Genomic DNA, 23,806 nt, shown 5'->3' on the forward strand with positions numbered 1-23,806 from the left:
ACCTGGGAGGCGGAGGTTGCGGTGAGCCAAGATGGCGCCATTGCACTCCAGCCTGGGCAACAAGAGCGAAACTGTCTCAAAAAAAAAAAAAAAAAAAAAAAGCCATGTTTTCATTTTAAGCCACTCATGGTTTCATCCTTGGATTCCCCATTAATTAAAAAAAAATCTCAACTATGAAACACAAAGTTTCATTATTGTTTTGATGTTAAAATAAAGCAGGCTGAACTCTCTAATCCCCAAAGAATAGAAGCACTTAGACTATAGAAAGGGAAACAAGTGTAAAGGTCTGAAATTATTTAAGAGGTTTATAGGATAATTCAAAGCAAAAATTTAGTAGCATAATGAAAGAAAAATGTGATAAAAAGACAAAGACGAACGTTCCAATTAATTTATTTAAATTCATTAATGTTGCAAAAAATATGATGTGCAACAAATCAAGACACAAGTTATATTCCTAACAGGTCAAAGAAAATATTACATCTCCTTAGTAAATCATGACCAACTCTGGTATTTCTTACAGGGACCACATTAATATCTTGCACACACAGACATCAGAACTGAATTTCTGACAGTACTCGGCTGGGCAACATCATCTTAAGAGTAGGAAAATATCACAGTACATTAATTTTGTCTAAATGACAGCAATGAACCTGTGGTAACAAAAGTATTTTTGGAATAGATATCAAAGTGTGTTAATGTCTTAACAAACTCTGAATTGTGTTCTGTGTGAATAGTGCTCCAAGGGCTGTGCAAGTCAGTGGCCCTGAACATCATCAATATTTACTAGCTAGGTTTACACAAATAAACAAGCAACTGTTAAACGGACATTAAACTTTACAAAGTCCACATACAAAAAGTGCAGTGTAGAAGCTGATGAATGTTATTTTCCAAGTTCCTCCTTAGCCAAACTGCATAAAAATTTCAAAATGCAAATATTTTAACTTCTTGTTAAACATGATTCTAAGACATCCTACAAGCCTAGTATCATTAATTTGAAAGCACGAAATGATTTTCATTTGGTGCTTACGTGCTTTATGTGAATTTTTCATAGCATTTTACTTAGTTCTCAAAACATAAATAGGTCTATTATAAATAGTTGCAACATACTGTTATATTCAAATTTTAGTGTCACTCCTTACTGTTAAACATGCCAGACTACTTTATTTTCAATTATCCTTTAGAACTTCAAAGGAAAGTTACATAACTGGGTCTCACCATTGATCTGATTCTAAGTTCATTCAGAATTTCAAGAAGGGCAGAGGGGGATGCTTGCCAGGTAATTCTTTTGTATTAGCTTAGAACATTTGAGTAGATAATACCCCACTTCCCTCACCAGTTGGCCTTCCCATTCAAGTCTAAGTTCTTGACTCTTTCTCGCAGCAACTCAAACTACACAATTCCTATGACCTATAACAAGACCAGACCTATTTTAACAGCAAAATAGGTCTAACTTGTGAGTACATACATTAATGCCTCTTTTTACTCTATCCCTCTCAGATTTGTGGTCCATTTCTCAAATGTCCATATAGGATTGGAGAAAAAACAGGCATGAAAACAAAATAGAATGGTGTAGCAATCTCTATTTTCAGCCTATCTCCTACTCCCATTTGCTTGAGCAAGTTTAACACTTCTCCACATATAACATGGAAAAAGGAAGGATGAACCTACCGTAACATCTCTACCAATCTCATCAGGAAACTGGCCTGTTCTATCTGATATGTCCTAATGCTAATTTATCACTTGAAGAAATATAAAAAGCCACTTCTGTATAAAACACATGTCCAAATTCCCTGAGCATTCACATAAACAGCCAAATAGAAATGTTATATAGTCTTTTTAAAAGGCCTCTATCAAAAAGCAGATCTCTTACCTTTTTAAATTCTGGAATTACGGTTAAAAAAATTCTAGCTACAGATATATGCTTGCCAATCAGCATATTTCAGTATTCAGTGCACTTACTAGTGATGTCCATTTTGGAAGACTAAATCAATGTTCAGCAACAGTGAAATATGAAAAAACAAAAAAACCAACCAAAAACCCTCAATCCTAAACTTTTAAGTGCTGTAACTGCTAACCTTCTCTGCTCGAACTTGCTTCTGTATGAAGAGACAAAGAAAGAGAAAATATGAATTCTTATCATGGGTATGTATTATCAACTTTTCCCCCTTCAATCCACAGTCTTTATTCACATACCTTGCGTATAGCCTGCAGGTTTTCCTGCTGCATACAAGAAATGTTACCATCAGCAGTCACATATGGTACTTCCCTTAAAAGGACACACATGGCCGGGCGTGGTGGCTCAAGCCTGTAATCCAAGCATTTGGGAGGCTGAGACAGGCAGATCATGAGGTCAGGAGTTCGAGACCAGCCTAGCATGGCGAAACCCCGTCTCTACTAAAAATACAAAAATTAGCCGGGCATTGTGGCGTGTGCCTGTAATCCCAGCTACTCAGGAGGCTGAGGCAGGAGAAATGCTTGAACCCGGGAGGCAGAGGTTGCAGTGAGCCAGGATTGCGCCACTGCACTCCAGAATGGGTGACAGAGTGAGTCTCTGTCTCCAAAAAAAAAAAAAAAAAAAGAGAGGGCACACATACAGTGGCATCTTAGGTAACAACTATGTCTTTATCTCTTTATAAAGGTTTGCTTTCTCTTACTTCCTACTTTTATCACTTTCCAATGCCTCTGCTAGACCCTACTTAGAATCATATTTCTTCATATCTCCCTCTGAGTTAAAGATTGTTAAGCTTAAATTGTGGGGTGAATAGAACGTCTTCCCTTGGTGCTTGCTTAGGAGTATGATCAAGCAGAACACAGAATCAAATTATTTCACATGAAAAACTTCTGACTAAAAAAGGGGCACTTAGAGCCTAGTGACAGAAGCATCAAATTAAGCCAGTTAAATTAGATCCATGATCCCAACAGAAAGATAAAAGTACAATCACATATACTTTCACCTTGGTCAGTAATGGGAAATTAAAATGGAATAATATGGGAAATGTTAACTTAGCTATAGATTAGAAACAACAGACTTAATAAATGCTCTTCCTCTAACCTACTATTATGATCTTAAATCTTATAAAACATTTATTGTGGGTACATCTCTATACCAGATTCCATTAAGGTGCAGGTTAAAGCAGGTATCCCTTTAGTTTACTGATTCACAGCACCTCATTTTCATTATATCCCAGGTGTTATCACTGTTGTCTCTGAATTTTAATGTTTAACAGAATAGTCTTCTACTTTTAAAAAAAATTCAGAAAAACATCACTTTTGCAACATGTATCTACAGTTAGGAGCAATGACTGCAAAATCAAAAATCAAAATAATGCAAAAAAGAGTTGAAGTTATTCTTCATATTTTTTAAACTGAAGAACCAAGTACTTAATGTGGTAGAAAACCACCTATTAAAAACCTCAGCCCATTTTGAGCAAGATAAAGATGTACAGATGAAAGACTACGTTAAATCGTCTACAAATATAGAATCTAATGACAAATTCAATATAATTGTTTATACATAATCCTTATATGGTAAATTCAGAAGGAATGCCTAACTTGTTATTGTTAGTTTGCTTCTTCAACAACAAGTGTTCCTAAAATGTGAGCAAGCAATAATCGTTTTGGCTCAATTCACTGTAATGACATTAGTTCAGGATCTGCCAAGAGCTGCTGGATCTGAGTTAAGTCAGGAGGCTGCTGAGGAATGTTTCATCCTGGGAATCCTCCAGCATCTCTCTCCTATAACTGGTTTTAAGTTAGCATGCCAAGTTTAGGACTGAGGAGGACAAAAAATATAGGAAAGTTCCCTTTTGTAACAGAAGGTTTGTAAGTACATGAGAATGGTCACAGCCACATGTGTGTTCAATCTAGGATAGACTAAATCTTGAAAGGTTAGCTCACATCCACTTCAATTTTGCTACTCTAGGCCACTGTTTTGTAAAATACCTTACAGGAAGGGTTGAAGAGTAGCCATGACCTTCAAATTTGGAAGGTATTATGCTTACCAGCTGTGTATGAGCCTTTCAAGTATATGACACAATATCAGATCAATCTGTTGTTTTAGAAATAATTTTGTCGGTAATTAAACTTTTTGTTTGGAGGCACAAACACAATTTATTTCAATGTAAAGGTACTACCAAATGAAACAGTTTAAATGCTTGTAACAAACGTGTTATCCAAAACAGCACAATATGATGATGCTAAGACTTACAAAATTAACCTAATTTACAGTATTGTCAAACATGATTTCATACAAACTTGAATAAACACCACATCTAACTAGGTCAAACAACTACCGAGTTCAAATAATTGATATGGAAGTATTTTGGTAAAGTGCCCATAGTGAGAGTTTAAAAAGCAGCCCCTGTTTTCTATAGAAAAAGTTGTGACAGTGAATAACTCATCACATTCTCTGCAATACTACTCAGCACTCATATACACTCAGGGGAGCAATACCCTGGACACATAGCTTATTTCACATTAGTGAACAAACTCAAGATTTTTATAAAGTTCTGACTTTGGGCCAGAAGATAAAATGTCCCATATATACATATATACAAACCCTAATTCCTACCCTCTTAAATCCTCTAGTTCTAAGAATGGCTTTTTGACTTGTCTTTAAGTTTAGAAAGGAAAAAGTGTGCAATGCGCTTGCATCTGTACTTGCTGAATTATGAAACAAATATGTTAAATGAGAAAAAAACCTTGGGATGGTACTAATACACTTCGATTATATACATGATCTTTGGGTATTCATGACAATCAGTTTAACCATCTGTTGCCTTATGAAAAACTTAATTTCCTAAGTTACCCAGGAAATGTATTTAACCATTTACAAAAACAAAAATTCTAATATGCACTTTAGAAAATCGTGGTCTTATATACCTGCATATTTCTTCCATAAGACAGGTACACATTAAAAAATATTGCTCAATGACATAAAAATATATATTATTTCTTTCCTTTGCCATTTATGCATATAAATATTTCACCGAAGAAGATGCATCATTCAATAAACAAATGCAAAAACTACTTTATATAAAGTGTGGTTCTCTATTTAGCAATATAAAATATAAAACGATAATAATACAGTTAGCTATTAAAGAGCTAAATTCAAGAAATTTGCAAACCAGTACAGCAGTGAACAGTCCCTTGTATAATACAAAAGTCCATTATGAAAAAGTCAAGTCTATTTTGTAACAGGTTACATAAAAATATGGGCCAATAAATGCATTATGAATGCAGAAACAGCACTGCTCCATCAGCACATTCTTCAGTCTTGTTTGGACTAGATGCCAAACTTACTGTTCATTTTTCGGTTCATCTTGTTTTCCATTAAGTTCTTGATCAACTCTGTTTAATGAAGAATATATAAAATAAGAAACCAGCAACTGAACAATTTTCTTTCTAAAAATAATGACTATTTTAGCATAGAATATTACTCTGTTAAAGACAAAGCTTTGCAAAGAAGCAGACATAGTAAAAACAGTTACCAAACATCATTTCCCCAACCAGAAAAGAGAATTTTTAAAGGCAGGAGGACACTGGCAAGAAATGTGACCGTTGTTTCTTTAAAGATTATAAAATACTTTACATACAAATGCATATAAACTTTTTTTTTTTCTTATTTTTGAGACGGAGTCTTGCTCTGTCACCCAGGCTGGAGTGCAGTGGCACAATCTCAGCTCGCTGCAATCTCCGCCTCCTGGGTTCACACCATTGTCCTGCCTCAGCCTCCCGAGTTGCTGGGACTACAGGCGCCCGCCACCATGCCCGGCTAATTTTTCGTATTTTTAGTAGAGGTGGGGTTTCACCATGTTAGCCAGGATGGTCTCGATCTCCTGACCTCGTGATCTGCCTGCCTCAGCCTCCCAAAGTGCTGGGATTACAGGCGTGAGCCACCGTGCCCAGCCATAAACTTTCTTAAAAGTTCAAATTACATGGCATATTAAAATCTTGACCTGTAACTTGGCTGTGGTAGGGATCCAGGTGGTACGAAAATGGCAGGAAAAACAACTCCCTCAAAAATGATTCTGTTAACTAAAATATGAAAATGCCATGAAGGCCACCAATTATCAATCAATATTTTAAAATTCAGTGATAAAAAATGCATCCTTATAGAACCCATAATTATTCTCCAAAACTTATTGGTACACAGTTTGTGAATGCCTTAAATTTGTTTTGACAGTAAGAAGCCTTAAGAATTTAACATTCAAGGCCGGATGCCGTGGCTCACGCCTGTAATCCCAGCACTTTGGGAGGCCTAGGCGGGTGGATCACGAGGTCAGGAGTTCGAGACCAGCCTGGCCAACACAGTGAAACCCCATCTCTACTAAAAATACAAAAATTAGCCAGGTGTGGTGGTACGCGTCTGTAGTCCCAGCTACTTGGGAGGCTGAGGTAGGAGAACCGCTTGAACCCAGGAGGCAGAGCTTGCAGTGAGCTGAGACCATGCCATTGCACTCCAGACTGGGTGACAGAGTGAGACTCCGTCTTAAAAAAATAAATAAAATAAAAAAAAAGAATTTAACATTCAAAAATATCTAATATAAATTAATTATTGGCTAGACACAGTGGCTTACACCTATGATCCCAGCACTTTGGAAGGCCGAGGCGGGCGGACTGCTTGACCAGGAGTTTGAGACCAGCCTGGGCAACATGGCAAAACTCCGTCTCTACAAAAAATACAAAAATTAGCCAGGTGTGGTAGTGTGCACTTGTAGTCCCAGCTACTCAGAAGGCTGAGGTGGAAGGATTGCTTGAGCCCTGGAGACGGAGGCGACAGTGAACCGAGACTGCACCACTGCACTCCAGCCTGGGTGACAGAGCAAGACCCTGTCTCAAAAAAACAAAACAAAAACCCATCAAAAAGCTTATTTATTTAGTGGTGGGTTGGACATCAGTCATATCAAAATTTACGCATGTGGGCATTAGAAGGATTACATAATTACCACATAATAATTACAGACAACCCTTCAAAGCTAACAGTCTATTACTATTACATTTGTAGTGGTCTGAATAACTGATGAAGGGACCTTTAAAACAATCCGGTATTAGATAAAGAAAAATATTTTTCATATGTTTTTATTCTCATCACCCATTACTATGCCCACCTGAATATTAGTGAAACAGACCTAAAAGCCCTGGTCTGTGGTAAAGCCAAAGTAACATTTTAAAATATTTAAAATATTGTTATAAAAAATTTGGAATGTATTTCTGATAAGGCATGCAAAATATATCAAATCCTCTTAACATCTGAAATATCCTTACCAACTAATTTCATAATTATTTTTAAACTCCCCTGAAACATTTTAACAATCTGTATCTGCATGGCCACACTTGCATCCAGTTGTTTGAAAGAAACATTTTAAACATTTAAACTGCTATCCTTTTTCTGTCACTGGGGACACTGGATCTCCCTGTTGTCAACATTTCTTCAACCCTCTTCCCCACAAGCCCCTCAAGAAAATGGTTTTGCCCCTTCTTCCCCTGCTCCCCAAAAACCTGCCATAGGGACTCATAGCTTCATACTCTTCTTAGCACCACTACTTATCATATCATGCAGTTGTCACCTTAAATAAGCTCCCTTGCACCTAGCTTCTGTAAAGTTTGGTTTAGGCTGGGCGTGGTAGCTGACGCCTGTAATCCCAGCACTTTGGGAGGCCGAGGTGGGTGGATCACTTGAGATCAGGAGTTCGAGACCATCCTGGCCAACATGGTGAAACCCAGTCTCTACTAAAAATGCAAAAATTAGCCAGGCATGGTGGTGGGTGCCTGTAATCCCAGCTACTTGGGGGGCTGAGGCAGCAGAATCGCTTGAACCCGGGAGGCAGAGATTGCAGTTAGCTGAGACTGGGCCATTGCACTCCTGCCTGGGTGACAAGAGTGAAACTCTGTCTCAAAACAAAACATGCCTCTCTACCTAAATTTAATTTAAAAATTAAATTTTATCATTTTCAGATTGACAAAAATTTATTATTTTTTAAGACTAAAGAAACTACAAAAAACAGAACGTTTTTGAAAGATACATGTAATCATTCTATTTATGGTTAAACACAAGTAAAAAAAAAATCAAGATAAAATAGTGACAGGTTTCAAACAATATATTTAAATAAAAAGTACAAATTCCATATTTTTTCTGATGTCTAAATTACTTAACAGTATTAAAAACTTTTTTTAAAAAGGCTTAATACAGCATATTTTATCAACAAAGGCAATTCACTGTGAAATCTATGAAGCAGCTGGCTTCAAAATATTCTACAATTACAAATCATATTTTTAATTTCAGCCACTTGTCTGTCGAATGCACAGCAATGCCTAGAAAGGAATGTGAAATCAGCATGATCTAAAATCACTGTCTACATTTCTATGTTAAAGTGTTGGTTAAACTGTGAAGTGTCATATAGAAGTGTAAAACTGATTCTATCACAAAGTCTACTAAATTCTCACTCATCAACAGAAACAAAATGTGTTCAAAGTTAAGAATGTTCCAGTTAGTTACAGTTGGCTCCTTAGAATGGTCAAGATAATTACATATAAATCTCTCACCGTAACTCTTAAGATTGTATTAAACTATGTTTTGCTAATTTAATTGCCAATATTTTAAAGATCTAACAAACTAGATCTAAATTCTACGTTTTTCTAAATTATTATACAAAATTCTAAGTATTTTATACCCTTGCCTTTCATCATCTATGTCAAGGTATCAATAGATAATAGTTTGTTATGCTCAAAGCAGAAGTGTTCAAAATTAAATTTAAAATAGAAAGTGAAGTGTTTAACTGTTAAATGGGACACTGAGATTTTAGGTATTTTATCACATGTAGAATTTGACTGGTTAGCAAGCCATTTAATTTAAGCATAAAAGGAAACCAATGTTGGTTAGCCAAAGTATATATGCATTGCAAATATAATAATCAACCCCAGGGAAATAAATTGAGAACTTTTAAAAAGTCTGCAAAAATATTTCAAAAGCACAAGTTAGCGATTTAAAGAAAATGGTGAAACAGATAAAGTCTTAAAATTATTTGGTGTTCCAAATACCATTTTTAGTAATTTCTCTGGTTTCACCATTAGTACTTAGACTAAGAAGGAGAGAGAAGGGTCTGTGGTTTTTAATTGCTAATTGGCATCATATATGGCAATAAAACATGGTGAATCCAAGTCATATTCAGCCTTAGGAACTCTGGGTTCACCCTGTATTTGGAAGTTGGGGTACATTTATATTTGCAAATGCTATTATCTTTGTCTACAAGCTAACCAACCAATAAGGAAGAGTTAGTCTGCAATGCAAATGGACTAGTCTAGATGCAACCCAGTCAAGGTGTGCATATACCTTTTTTGTTTCTTTTTAAACTTTTCTTCTTCATACCTTTGTAGGGAAGAGTTATTTCAGTAAATATACATGTTATGAAAATGAATAAAAACTTGAAAAAAGCTACTAAAAATAAACTCATTTAAATTTTCCAGCAAAACCAAAAATATTTACTACATGATGTAGAAAGTAAAAATTTACTTAATAAATCTGACTTTCATACATTAAATAGACTAAAACCTCAGGTGAGCAGAACAAAGAAACTTTTCCACATGCATTGTAATACTCAGTTATTTATGTTAACAGCCTTCTACCAAGTCCAAGAAGTTACATGGAAGAATGTGAATCTGATAATCAGAACAGAATTTCAGTCACTGGAAAACATTAAGGTTATGATGATTTAAATATTTTTATTTATTTAGCAATATGATTATTCAATAATAATATTGATGATCAGTTTACTCAAATTTGTTGAGCACTATGTTCAAGTTTGGAGAATGCTCTTTAGTACTGATCAATTAGAGAAATCATCTCTTAGATTATAAGTAGTCTATAAAAGTATAACATGAATCACAACCGGAAATAATTTATCCTAGTTCTTCAACTGACAGCCTGAAGAAAATGCTAACTTAGGGGGATGGTGTGGGAAAATGGCTTCTTCCTCTTTTTCTTTGTTACACACACACACACACGCGCGCGCGCGCACAGTTATAAAATATAATACATAAAGAATGAGTATTGAAAAGTATTATCCATTGCACATCAAAATGTTAAGATCCAATACAATTAAGGAAATAAAACAAAACATACTGTTTTATGCATTCTGGTATGCCAACGTATTCCATGGGGACAAGTTCTGCTAGTTCTGCCAAATTAAACACGTATCTAATTTTTTGGCTGAATTTCGAGCTATGGAAGAAAATAAAAATAATTACTTCCATATTTCTGACAAATACAATGGATACAATGTTTACAAGATACAAAAATCATGTCATTTTGAATGTTCAAAACACAAAAAGATGATAAATGTCTGAGGTGATGGATGTACTAATCACCCAGGTTTGATCATTATACAATGTATACACATATCAAAATATAGCTCTGTATCCCATAAGTATGTATAGTTATTATGTGTTAACTAAAAATAAATAAATAAAAAAAATAAAATTAAAGTCAATGGCTCTCAAAAATTACCTAATAAATGGTCTTGTAACAGCCAGAAGTGTTCTGATAAACCAAGAAGGATGTACAATGATTAGGGATTTTAGATTTTTCCGTAACCTGGAGTTTAAAAAAAAAACACACACACACAAAGAAAATTAAAAATTTCTATAAATTCTAATGCTGCAAGTTTATACAAAATAATAGTTGAAAAATCTCACCCAAAAGTTCTCAATTAGGTGTGATACCCCTGTAGACAAGAAAATGCACTCTTAAATTCTTATGGTCCCTCCTACTGCTATGAAATGAACTTTACTTCATTTGGCCAGATTTACGTCCACAGTATAGCCTGTTACTAAATGTCTCCTAGCATACACATTCACTTGTCTTCAGGACTCTGTAAACAGGGAAAGAGGCCAATACTGAATGTAAAAGTAAACTATTCTCATTTTCCAAGACTAGGGAGAAATTGGTGCTAAGTTCTTCAAAACCATGAAAAGCACTGTGCAGGCAGAGAAGTGTGAGTGGAGAAGATGACCACAGGAACAAAAACAAATCAGATCTAACTCCTATTCTTAAGGAATTTAAAGTTTTGATTAAAAATTAAAGGTTTTATCCTAGACTTCTCCTTTTTAAATGACTAAATACTCTTTGTATTATGCATATTTCACACATAAAGTGAGATACATATATAATCATAAGAGCTAGCCAATGTCAAATTTAGATGTGAAGAGAAACCTATTAATGGGTCTGACTTGATTTAAATTAGCCACAGCAAGATCAAACCAATCGGAAGATCACATTCCTTCCATTAAGTACTGATGACTAACTCCCAAGACAAAACACTTCTAAAGCTTGTTCCAAAGAAAGATTACAACTAAATAAGCACCATTAAAAAACATAAATACTGAGCGCTGTGGCTCATGCCTGTAATCCTAGCACTTTGGGAGGCTGAGGCAGGTGGATCGCTTTAGTCCAGGAGTTCAAGAACCAGCCTGGGCAACATGTCAAAACGCTGTCTCTACAAAAAATACAAAAATTAGCTGGGTGTGGTGGCACATGCCTGTAGTCCCAGCTACCTGGGAGGCTGAGGTGGCAGAATAACCTGAGCTTGGGAGGTTGCCGCTACAGTGAGCAGAGATTGCACCACTGCACTCCAGCCTAGATGACAGAGTGAGACCCTGTCTCAAAACAAAACAAAAACAAAAACATAAAACATGCTAAGCACTATAAATTAGGCAAAACTCAATGTAATGAAATAGGAAACATACTACATTCTCCATCCTTTGCCAAGACGTAAATAATAGGAAAAAAAGTGTTCAATGTGGAGAAAATTGCATCTTATAAATAAGGAGAAAGTCTTCAATTAAATAAGGAGAAATATAAAGCTACTTTGTAAGTTTGAAGAATTAAGGTTATTCTTTATAGAAAAATCAAAATTGATTTCCCTCACAATATTCTAAAATGCTATCTTTAGAAAACAGAAACCTGCCATGAAATAAATAAATAAAATTTAAAAAATAAATGGTGTTTTAAAATAGCAACAGAAGGCTGGGCGCGGTGGCTCACGCCTGTAATCCCAGCACTTCAGGAGGCCGAGGCGGGTGGATCACCTAAGGTCAGGAGTTCGAGACCAGCCTGACCAACATGGAGAAACCCCGTCTCTACAAAAAATACAACATTAGCTGGGCGTGGTGGCGCATGCCTGTAATCCCAGCTACTTGGGAGGCTGAGGCAGGAGAATCGCTTGAACCTGGGAGGTGGAGGTTGCGGTGAACCGAGATTGTGCCATTGCACTCCAGCCTGGGCAACAAGAGTGAAACTCCGTCTCAAAAAAAAAAAAAGTTAAAAAAAAAAAATAGCAACGAAAAACAAAGTTTGATTTCCTAAAGCCATTATAAAATTTTTTCAGACTAGCTTTCAACTTGTATTTGTATTACCTTCTATCAATTTGCTGATAACATTTCCTGAGCCATCCCAGACTGGGCATTTTTCTTCGAGTTGTTGCACCATTTAAATAAACTATCATGTAGTTTTCTGCTACTAATAGCTCCAAAGTGCCAATAACATATCTGTAAAAAACAAATTAAGTTTAAGCCTTAAAAATCACTGTGCATAACTGAACTAGGTTCTCTAAATTGTACCATTATACAATTCCTTCCTCTCTCCTACAATGAGAGCAACAATGAAAATGCTCAAACCGCATTAGCTAGTATTACGATTATCTTATTTTTTAGAGATATATTTTGAAATGTTTCTAGGTGAAATGATTTGCTCCTGGGATTTGCTTCAAACTTGTAAACTGGGGGTTAGAAGTGGGAACAAAGTATAAATTGGTAATTGTTGAAGTGACTGATACATGAAGATTTGATATACTTCTCTTTACCCCTGTGTATGTCTGAAACTTTCCACAATACGGTTTTTAAAAACTGCACTAACCTGAGAAATAGAATGACCTTGTGGAAAAAGAACTGATTTGGCTCAATTATATTGGCCTTCTAGGGGTAAATGTAATTTAGCCACATGATTTTGAGACAAAAATCACTTCTTTACACTTAATGTGCCTGCAAATGTTAACATAAAACAGTTGGGACAGGTAAGGCATGGTGGCTTACTTGAGCCCAGGAGTTTGAGACCAACCCTGGCAACATAGTGAGACTCTGTCTCTACCAAAAATTAAGAAGTCAGCAGGATGTGGTGACATGTGCCTGCAGTCCCAGCCACTAGGGAGGCTGAGGTAGGAGGATGGCTTGAGCCCGTGAGGTCAAGGCTGCAGGGAGCCGTAGTTGTACCACTGCACTCCAGCCTGGGTGACAGAGTGAAACTCCATCTCAAAACAAAACGAAACAAAGTTGGAACAAATAATCTGAGATATATTTCCCAGTTTTAAAATGACAATTTTTCTCTTGAATTGGAAAACTATCGTTCCATAATATCAAAGAATAAGGACTCATCTAGTCCTGTATCTAGTAACAAATACTTTTACTTTAACCTTCATTCTGTTGTTCACAAACTTGCACGTGAAAAGATCTGGGATATTTATTTTTCTGAGACAGGGTCTTACTCTGTCACCCAGGGTAGAGTGCAGTGGCAAAATCACAGTTCACTGCAGCTTTGACCTCATGGGCTCAGGTGATACTTCCACCTCAGCCTCCTGAGTAGGTGGGGCTACAGGCCCATACTACCATGCCTGGCTAATTTTTTGATTTTGTAGAGAAAGAGCTTTGTCATATCGCCTAGGCTGGTCTCCAACTCCTGGACTCAAGTGATCTGCCCACTTCAGTCTCCCAAAGAACTGGAATATTTATAATTTTTGAAAAGGTTAAGTTTCTTAAGGTGTAGATCTAATTAGCTCACAATTCTGTCCAAATGTTTTTGTTTAATATATACTTACTTAAAAAGATTGTCCATCAGGTATCTATAGTTAGGCTGACTACTTTCAGGCATGAAACAGACAGCAAACACAACAATGGCATTTAATCCATCCCCATAATATCCTAAAAAAGAAACCAAAGACAGTATCACCAGCACGATTTTACTCTTAGGCATTTTTAGAAGACATCTGTATGATTAGTAAATTATAAATAAGAGTTTACTTTTCACAGATTTCTGTATTAAATGTATGTTTTGTAAATCTTATATGGTCTTATATAGAATTTTAATGTCTTCTTCCCAAAAAGAGAACAGTAAAATTTAAAGAGGACGGTGGACAGAAAAAACAAAAAAACCCAAGACCACTTAAATTCGCATATTTAAAAAGCCAGCCCTATTTTAGCAGGTAGACAAATATAGTGATATAACCCAATACAATACAGACACAATACAATAACTGCAATGTATTTTTATTTATTTCTATGATGCTTATGGTTAAAGTGGGTGCTTTTTTTTTTTTTTTAGATGGAGTCTCGTTCTGTCGTCCAGGCTGGAGGGCAGTGGCACAATCTCGGCTCACTGCAACCTCCGCCTCCTGGCTTCACGCGATTCTCCTGCCTCCCGAGTAGCTGGGATTATAAGCGCACACCACCGTGCCCGGCTAATTTTTTGTGTATTTTTAGTAGAGATGGGGTTTCACTAAGTTGGCCAGACTGGTCTCGAACTCCTGACCTCGTGATCTGCCTGCCTCAGCCTCCCACAGTGCTGGGATTACAGGCGTGAGCCACCGTGCCCGGCAAAGTGGGTGCTTTTTTAAATTTTTTTTTAGAGGATAGCATCTTGCTCCATTGCCCAGGATGGAGTGCAGTGGCGCAATCACAGCTCATGCAGCCTTGAACTTCTGGGCTCAAGGGATCTTCCCACCTCATAGCCTCCAGAGGAGCTGGGGATACAGCGCACACAAACATGCCTGGTTAACCTTTATAAAATTTTTTTTGTAGAGATAGGGTTTCACTGTGTTGCTCAGACTGGTCGTGAACTCCTGGCCTTAAGCAATCCTCCTCCTTTGGCCTCCCAAAGCACTGGGCATGAGCCACATCGCCAGAGCCATAAGTGGGTGATTTTTAAAAGGTAAGTTTATATTTAAAAATGCTAGCATTTTGTAGAAATTAGGACATTAAAACTAAATTAGGCCGGGCGAGGTGGCTCATGCTTGTAATTCCAGCACTTCGGGAGGCTGAGGTGGGCAGATCACTTAAGGCCAGGAATTTTGAGACCAGCCTGGCCAACATGGCGAAACCCCATCTCTACTAAAGATATAAACAATTAGCTGGGTGTGGTGGTGTGCACCTGTAGTCCCAGCTACTCAGGAGGCTGAGGCAGGACAATCATTCAAACCTGGGAGGCGGAGGTTGCAGTGAGTCGAGACTGCACCACTGCACTCCAGCCTGGGCAACAGAGCAAGACTTGGGTCTCAAAAAAAAAACAAAAACAAAAACAAAAAAACAAACTAAATTACATCTCTGACATAATTTTCAGTAATGGAAAACAGCGCTAAAATATGTATGTTTCAACAGCAGTCTTTAGATATTAAGCCAATATTTAGTAGCAAATACTTCTGCTTTAACCTTCATTTCTATTGCTTACAAATTTGCACATGAAAAGATTTGAACATTTCAAGAACATCAGAATCTTCACTACCTTTCTTAATCACTCAGTCACAAAATATATTAAGTGTGGTAATGCAATAAAATAAGGTGGTCTTATTTTCCCCTATAAAAAAAGTGCTATTTCTGAAAGATAAGAGATTTAAGCCATAAATCAGGTCTTATAATTTGATTCCTGTGAACTAGCTGAATAATGTATGTCTGTGGACTTCCTGATGCAGATTACGCCATTTTCTTCATCTGAGTACGATTAAATTAGGCAGAAGAATGCAACTACAAATATTCATGTGATTTGCTTTCAGATGAATGAAGACTGTAGAAATAAGCAGGGGAATGCATCTGGCAGAGAGTAAATCAAGTGGAAATGACCCTGAAAAAAAATCAATCTGCTTGACCCATATGCCCTCCGTCCTGTGTTAGGAGGATTTAAGGTAGTATGACATGCTCTACAGTGAGTTGTGTTCTGACTTACCACTAACATTCTAGCACTATTTACAATGTGCCTAGGTTAACTTCTATATATGGTACTGTTAGATTGAAAGGATTTATAACTTAAACTTTTATGGCTTTTCCTATTTCTTAAGGGCAGGGACTTAAGCCTTGTATTTTTGTATATCCCATAAGTATGGAAAGTGGGTGCTGTATAGAAGTGTGGAGTGAACTAGTTCTCTATTAAAAAATAATTTGGCCTGGGCACTGTGGCTCATGCCTGTAATCCCAGCACTTTGGGAGGCTGAGGCGGGCAGATCACAAGGTCAGGAGTTCGAGACCAGCCTGGCCAATATGGTGAAACCCCGTCTCTACTAAAAATACAAAAATTAGCCAGGCGTGGTGGCGTGCACCTGTAGTCCCACCTACTTGGGAGGCTGAGGCTGGCGTATCGCTTGAGCCTGGGAGGCAGAGGTTGCAGTGAGCCGAGATTGCGCCACTGCACTCCAGCCTGGGTGACAGAATGAGACTCCATCTCAAAAAAAAAAAAAAGAAAAAAAAATTTGTTCACGGTTTTAAGGCAAATTAAGAGTTAAGGTTAAAAAGTCCAAGTTTTAGGGCCGGGCACGGTGGCTCATGCCTGTAATCCCAGCACTTCAGGAGGCTGGGGTGAGCAAATCACGAGGTCAGGTGATCGAGACCATCCTGGCTAACATGGTGAAACCCTTTCTCTACTAAAAATACAAAAAATTAGCTGGGCATGGTGGCGTGCACCTGTAATCCCAGCTACTCGGGAGACTGAGGCAGGAGAATCCCTTGAACCGAGGAGGCAGAGGTTGCAGTGAGCTGTCACGCCACTGCACTCCAGCCTGGGTGACAGAGCAAGACTCTGTCTCAAAACAAAACAAAACAAAAAGAGTCCAAGTTTTACTTATATCCATAAATGACTTCTACAAGAATGTTCAAAGCAGTTTTGTTTATAACAGCCCAAGCTGGAAACAACTCACATGCACATAAAAAAAAACGGATAAGCAAATTATGGTTTATCCAAGCAATGGAAAACTACTCAGCAATAAGAAGGAATGTACTGTGGATACGTGCAACAACATGGATGAATCTCAAAAACTTCATGCTGAAAAGTAAACAAAAGAGTGCATAGGATGATTTTAGTTACTATATATGAAATTCTAGAAGAGGCAAAACTAATCAGGGGGTAGATATGACAGTGGCTACCGAAGCTGAGTATTCATTGCACAGGGGTACTAAATAATTCTTCTGGGACAATGAAAATGTTCTACATTTTTAGGGGTATGGGTTTTATATATATGGGTATATATGGTTATATAGGCATTTGTCAAAACTCATTGAACTGCACACTTAAGATCAGAGCATTTCACTGTTTATAAATTAGGGAGACTGTTCAGTCCCAGTTTTGGGTAGCCTAGAGACAGTTTAAAAAATTTTTTAATTTTGAGACAGGGTCAAAAACCAAAACAAAACAAAAAACTAGAGTGCAGTGGGATGATCACGGCCACTGAAGCCTCATCTTCCCAAGCTCAAGCTCTCTCTCCTCCCACCCCAGCCTCCTAAGTAGCTGGGACTACAGGCATATGCCACCACTCCTGGCTAATTTTATTTATTTTTTTATTTTTTTTATTTTTTTGTGGAGACGAGGTCTATGTTGCCCAAGCTGGTCCTGAACTCCTGGGCTCAAGTAATCCTCCTGCCTCAGCCTCCCAAATTGCTGGGATTACAAACCTGAGCCACCGTGCCCAACCTGACAGTTTTCACTACAAATTCTTTTGTACTTTTTCAACTTACTGTATGCATATAATCATTTTTAAATGGTACTTTTATTCTTTTACTTTAAACCTGTCATGTTTCTAAAATGAATGAGAAATGCTTATTATTCTTTCAAAATTACATAATATCTCTAGGCAGAGTTTCTAAAAGTATTTAGAATTCTGATATTGCATGAAACGGCTAGGGCAGGCGAGCGCAGTGGAGTGCCGCGCGGTGCGGTGCGGGCGGCAGAGTTGGGGTGTCATGGAGGATGAGCGGAGCTTTTCGGATATCTGCGGTGGCCGCCTGGCCCTGCAGCGCCGCTACTACTTCCCTTCCTGCCGGGAATTCTGCCTCAGCTGCCCTGGGCTCTCGCTGCGTTCGCTCACCGCTGTCACCTGCACGGTGTGGCTGGCAGCCTACGGACTCTTCACCCTCTGCGAGAACAGCATGATCCTCTCTGCTGCCATCTTCATCACCCTCTTAGGTCTGCTTGGTTATCTCCATTTTGTGAAGATTGATCAGGAGACTGTTAATCATTGATTCCCTTGGCATTCAGATGACTTCATCTTATGCTTCAGGCTAAGAAAGCACTACCTTCATAGAAATGGGCAAGGTCAAGGATATTGTCATCAATGAGGCTATTTACATGCAGAAGGTGATTTACTACCTCTGCATCTTATTGAAGGATCCAGTGGAACCACATGGGATATCCCAAGTAGTACCCGTCTTCCAGAGTGCCAAGCCCCGGCTGGACTGCTTGACTGAAGTATACAGGAGCTGCCAGGGGATCCTGGCACACCAGAAAGCCACATCAACAAGCCCATGAGCCCCAGCGTTCAGAAGGCCAGCATCGTCTTCCATGGGAGATGACTCTTAAGCCATAAGGGTTGGTTTTCCGTACTCCAAACCATCAGGTGGACACAGTCCTAGGAACCATTATGGATATAGTGCATCTCAGAGCCATAGAGCAGGTGACTGGAAATCTAACTCAGTATATTTCCACGTATTATAGTGTTTTCCTTGTAAGGTTTTGCCTACTTTACCAAAGGAGGGGAGACCTTAAGAATTTTGACACAGTATGTCAAAAGTAATGTCAGCAAAGAACATTGGGAAATTGCTAAGCATGTTCAGGTTTACTTTGTTGATGTTTGTGAAGCAAAACAATGGGAAACTGACATCAGATGTCTTGAGAAAGCTATATTTTCCATTAGTGCCCCTTGTGTAAAGTTACAAAAAAAACAAGCCCTCCAGGAACTGGTTAGCAGGAAGAAATGTCCTACAAAAGACGAGTCTCTCAACCTAGCGCCTGTGTTCTGTACAGGGCTTATTTACTCTTAATAAACAGATATCCTTCCAAAAAAAAAAGAATTCTGATATTGCATTAAACAATCTGAAAAATCCTCAGTAACTCTTACCCCCATGGCTGATAACTTTTTTATAGGGTTCAATTGCCTTCATATCAACCCTGTGGTCCTGTTCTCCAATCCTGAACATACGCCAGCGTCGTCCATCTTCTTTTTCCTCTGCTGCTGTGTATTCAGTAATTGAGCCTTTCCTAATTACTTCAGTAGTCTTGGGTTTTGGAAGATCATCTGTCAAAATACAAAGTTTTTGAATCACAAATTGTTACACAACAAAAATCAAATTATACGTTAACCACTTTACTACCTAGATTTTACAGAGAATTTTCATTATACCATCTGCACAATTTTCAATCTCTCTTCCATAAAGGAGGAAAAGGCTTATTCTTAACATGAGGCTGTTTTATGTCTTTGGAAATCATGGTTCTTTAACTTTTATTGCCCAATTTAGCAAAAACCACCTAATCATAGTGAAACGTGTATCCACAAGTTCAGAAAATATAATTTGTAGAGTCATCAAAATCTTAGTACACTGGCCTTACAATGCCTTTCCAGATTCAACTTGTGACAATATTCTCCCTGGCAGTTATGACTATAGGTTACTTCAAGTAGCTATCTGGGAGCCAATTTTGTTGTTGTTGAGCACATAAATTAACTGTAATACCAGATAGGAAGTGGTTAACTACTCAATGATCACTTCTCATTTGATCAGTTTTATAAAGCAGAAATGTATTTATAATACTTTGAAGTATACATGCAGAAGTCTATTTAAATTAGCATTAGCCAAAGCATAAGCACCAATGATTAAGTGTAATTTATGTTTTGAGATTGCAGTTTAGCTGATTTTCAATGTAGTAATAATTTTCAAAATTTCAGTATTATAGTCCTTACCAAAAGATGGGGGGAGGGGGAAACCTACTGCATGTTAGTTGTTTCCAAGACAAAGCTGTTAACGGAAAATATCCTTCCAGGAAATGACTACAGCAGCATTAAAGAAAGAAGAGACAAAACACATAGGCACAAAACTATTTCAGTATCTTTACAAAGTATTGCTTACTACTGGACTGTTTATTGAACCAGTAAAACAGGGAAGAAAAAAGAAACCAAAAATATAGCATATCACACTTTATTACAGTAAAATACTGAATGCTAAACACTACTATGAAAACAAAATCATTTTCAAGATGGAAAAAAATATGTAAAAATTATAACAACTATATATAAGATACTGTAGACAATTTTGTAATTAAAGAAAGCATGCAAAGTAAAACAGCACAATTCCTTTGAATTACAAGTAATAAGGAATACTAGGTTCGGGGGCTAAAAGTATACATTAATTTAAGTTGGTCATTTCACAAAGTAGAGCAATGTCAGGCAAACCTACTTAAAAAGTCACCCCAAATGCCTCCTTTCAGAACTCCCTTCCCACAAACTGTTAACTATATGTCTCTTCAAAAGTTTCTTACTTGATTGACTAAAAAAGAGCATGCCATAATTATCAAGAAATATTTTTGAAACAGCTATGAAAAAAACATGAGAGCAGTGGGCAAATAAGAGGGGAAAAAAGCCACTGGTGTACTCTATACACACTTTTTAAGTCCTTGAGAATATTCAAGGGTTAGCACAATTTCCTATCTTAGTAACAAATATATGAACTTTAGAAAGAATGATGTATTTCAAACAAAATCCCTTAGTACATTAATAAAGATCAGATTAAAAACAGTGAAACATTTACCTTCCCACTCAAACTCATTACTATTCTCTGACGGTGTGTCTAAGCCATCTAAGTCAATCTCCCCACTTTCATCCAAATCATCTGACAATACAGAGCCATCACTAGGATCCAGTGTCAGGCTAATGTCTGGAGCCATTAGTTTCTTTCTCACTTTATTTCCATTAACTTCTAGTGAGCCTGGAATTGGAAAATAAAGAAAAAGATACGTAACAAGGAATGCTTAGATGCTAAAGTTGAATAAGAAAAATTTTAACTACCCCATTCTTGGGAAAAAATAATATTAATTGAACATAATTTCAAAGCACCTATTCACAAAATTTTTATTCTGATCATTATTGCTTCTACATCGTTGGCAAGAGATCAATAAAGTATCAATGTCTTTTAAATAGAGGCAGACCTTATAGATACCTCTTACCACTAAAAATGATCTCCTCCACCCCTTTACTGTAAAACTTTCCAAAAACCAAGTGTATGTTTTTGGAATTTTTTTTAAAGCATTCTAAAAATGCTTTCCTCAATGTTCAACTTATACTTTGACTTCTATGATGGAATAAAAACTCAAGTTTTTTTTTTTTTTGGACAAAGAAACGTGTTTTAAAAAATAACACAAAGTCCATAATTTCAATGAAAGTAAGTGTCAAGCTCTTACCAGGCTGGTCCTCTGGTCCAGTTATAGCTAGTATATCTGCTTCAATACTATCATCTTCTGGTAAAGGTCTAGAAGACACAGGCATACTTTTTAATCCAGAAATTAAGAAAGAATTTTTTTTTGAAGTTCAATCTATTAAACATACAGCTTATAGAAATAATTATTTGGAAAATGGAATAAAGCAGTGTTGTTGTTTTTGAGACAGGGTCTTGCTGTCTGTCACCTAGGCTGGAATACAATGGCACAATCATGGCTCACTGCAGCCTTAACTCCTGGGCTCAAGAGATCCTCCCGAGTATCTAAGACTACAGGTGCGTGCCACGACGCTTGGCTAATTTTTAGTAGAGACAGGGTCTTGCTATGTTACCCAGGCTGGCCTTGAACTTTTGGGCTCAAACGATTCTCGTGCATTGACCTCCCTAAGTGTTGGGATTACAGGCATGAGCCACTGTGCCCAGCCTAGCAGTGTTTAAGATAAAGTCTCAGCCTTCTGAGTAGCTAGGACTACAGTGGCACACCAACATGCCCAGCTAATTTTAAAAGTTTTTTTGGTAGAGACCGGATATTGCTATGTTGCCCAGGCTGGTCTCAAGCAATCCTTCTGCCTCGGCCTCCCAAAGCACTAGGATTATAGGCGTGACGTGCTATGCCTGGCTACACTTTCAAAGTAAAAATTCTGACTGTCAGAGCTGACTTATACACTTATTATATATAAGTAACACATAAAAGTAGATATAAATTCCTTATGCAACAGCTCTTATACAATTATAAAACATGTAACAATTTTAAACAAATATGACTGAAATGCACAAATATAATGTGATGTATGATGCAATGTATGAAGCTCAATTTTTACTCACGAGACTACAGTAACAATGGTTCAATTCTTCTGAGATCAGCATTCCTATATTTACTATCACCACCATATGCAACAGTGACTCAGGTCTCCGATCAGCTGTCCAACTGCTAAGCTATCCAACTGCTAAGGCACCTGATTATGCACTAGGATGTCTTCTGACAAGTACGGCACGGAAGCACTATTTAAACTTAAGGTCTGCCTTTGCTCTCTTTTTCATTAGCCTACCTGGTGCCAATATAATTGTAAATACAAATGCAAACATGTCAAGGTGGCTGGCCAGATAAGCTAGAAAATCCTTATTAATTTACTTAGTAAGGTTTTTTTTTTTTTGGTGGGGGGGAACCCACAAATTTTTTTTTTTTTTTTTGAGATAGAGCCTTGCTCGGTCGCCCAAGCTGGAGTGCAGCAGCGCGACCTTGGCTCACGGCAACCCCTGCCTCCTGGGTTCAGGTGATTCTTGTGCCTCTGCCTCCTAAGCAGCTGGGACTACAGGCGAGCGCCAAGCCTGGCTAATTTTTTGTATTTTTAGTAGAGACGGGGTTTCACCATGTTGGCCACGTTGGTCTCAAACTCCTGGCCTCAAGTGATCTGCCTATCTCGGCCTCCCAAAGTGCTGGGGTTACAGGCGTGAGCCACCGCACCTGGCCACAAAATTAAAGAAACATTTTAAAGACAACTAAAGACCTCCTTCTCTGAGGAATCCCTCAGATCTTGTTTAAATGAAAACAAAAACAAAACAAAACAAACAAACCACACTAAAACACTTTATTATAAAAGCAAAAATTTGCAAACTTAAGTGACCAAAACAAAAATGAAAGATTATAGAAGATTATATATATACTTGGTTGGAAAGTAAGATACAAGAGAATCAATCTAACTGTTCCGAAGAAACTTTACTTCCTAGTATCAAATGATCGCCTTGTATTACTGAGTTTCTCAGTGACATCTCAGCTGTGCAGTGGCTCACACCTGTAATCCCAGCACTTTGGGAGGCCAAGGCAGGCAGATCACGAGGTCAGGAGTTTGAGACCAGCCTGGCCAATATGGTGAAACACCGTCTCTATTAAAAATACAAAAATTAGCCAGGCGTGGTGGCGCACACCTATAGTCCCAGCTACCTGGGAGGTGGAGGCAGAAGAATTGCTTGAATCCAGGAGGCGGAGGTTGCAGTGAGCTGAGATCGCGCCACTGCACTCCAGCCTGGGCAACAGAGCAAGACTCCGTCTCAAAAAAAAAAAAAGTAACATCTCGATAAAGAAATTTTGAACTTTTGCTCTAAAATTGTTTTCTTTTAAAAGCATTGCTCACATCGGAAAATCTTCATCTTGCCATTCTTCTTTAAGTTCCACACCTTCCATCCTCAGCCTGGATTCAATGTCAACTACAAACTCTTGATAATCCAGGGAGCCAATGTCCTATGAAGAGAGAAAAATGTATAACTTAATTTCCACTTTACTTTTTATCCACTGAAAAGGCGT

The 23,806-nt window shown here is 37.6% G+C and overlaps 1 protein-coding gene and 1 pseudogene across 8 annotated transcripts in view; one reads left to right on the forward strand and one right to left on the reverse strand.

Moving 5' to 3' along the window:
* BNIP2 (BCL2 interacting protein 2) overlaps window positions 375-23,806 on the reverse strand; it is a 30,175-nt gene continuing 6,743 nt past the window's right edge. For 2 of the 8 annotated variants that reach the window (NM_004330.4, NM_001320675.4), the window contains exons 2-10: window positions 23,637-23,743; window positions 21,470-21,537; window positions 20,821-20,997; window positions 19,140-19,316; window positions 13,866-13,968; window positions 12,412-12,543; window positions 10,505-10,591; window positions 10,121-10,219; window positions 375-5,349 (exon numbers count right to left, since the gene is read on the reverse strand). In NM_004330.4, the coding sequence (NP_004321.3) occupies window positions 5,298-5,349; window positions 10,121-10,219; window positions 10,505-10,591; window positions 12,412-12,543; window positions 13,866-13,968; window positions 19,140-19,316; window positions 20,821-20,997; window positions 21,470-21,537; window positions 23,637-23,686 (945 nt within the window). In that variant the 5' untranslated portion in view covers window positions 23,687-23,743 and the 3' untranslated portion in view covers window positions 375-5,297. Of the gene's footprint in view, window positions 5,350-9,331; window positions 9,368-10,120; window positions 10,220-10,504; window positions 10,592-12,411; window positions 12,544-13,865; window positions 13,969-19,139; window positions 19,317-20,820; window positions 20,998-21,469; window positions 21,538-23,636; window positions 23,744-23,806 lie in introns of all 8 variants that reach the window. The other 6 variants (NM_001320674.2, NM_001368058.1, NM_001368057.1 and 3 more) reach the window with 6 other exon arrangements.
* Window positions 17,916-18,747, forward strand: PIGHP1 (phosphatidylinositol glycan anchor biosynthesis class H pseudogene 1; annotated as a pseudogene).

Source organism: Homo sapiens, chromosome 15 (genome assembly GCF_000001405.40).
Source record: "Homo sapiens chromosome 15, GRCh38.p14 Primary Assembly".
In the NCBI taxonomy this organism is placed as follows: domain Eukaryota; kingdom Metazoa; phylum Chordata; class Mammalia; order Primates; family Hominidae; genus Homo; species Homo sapiens.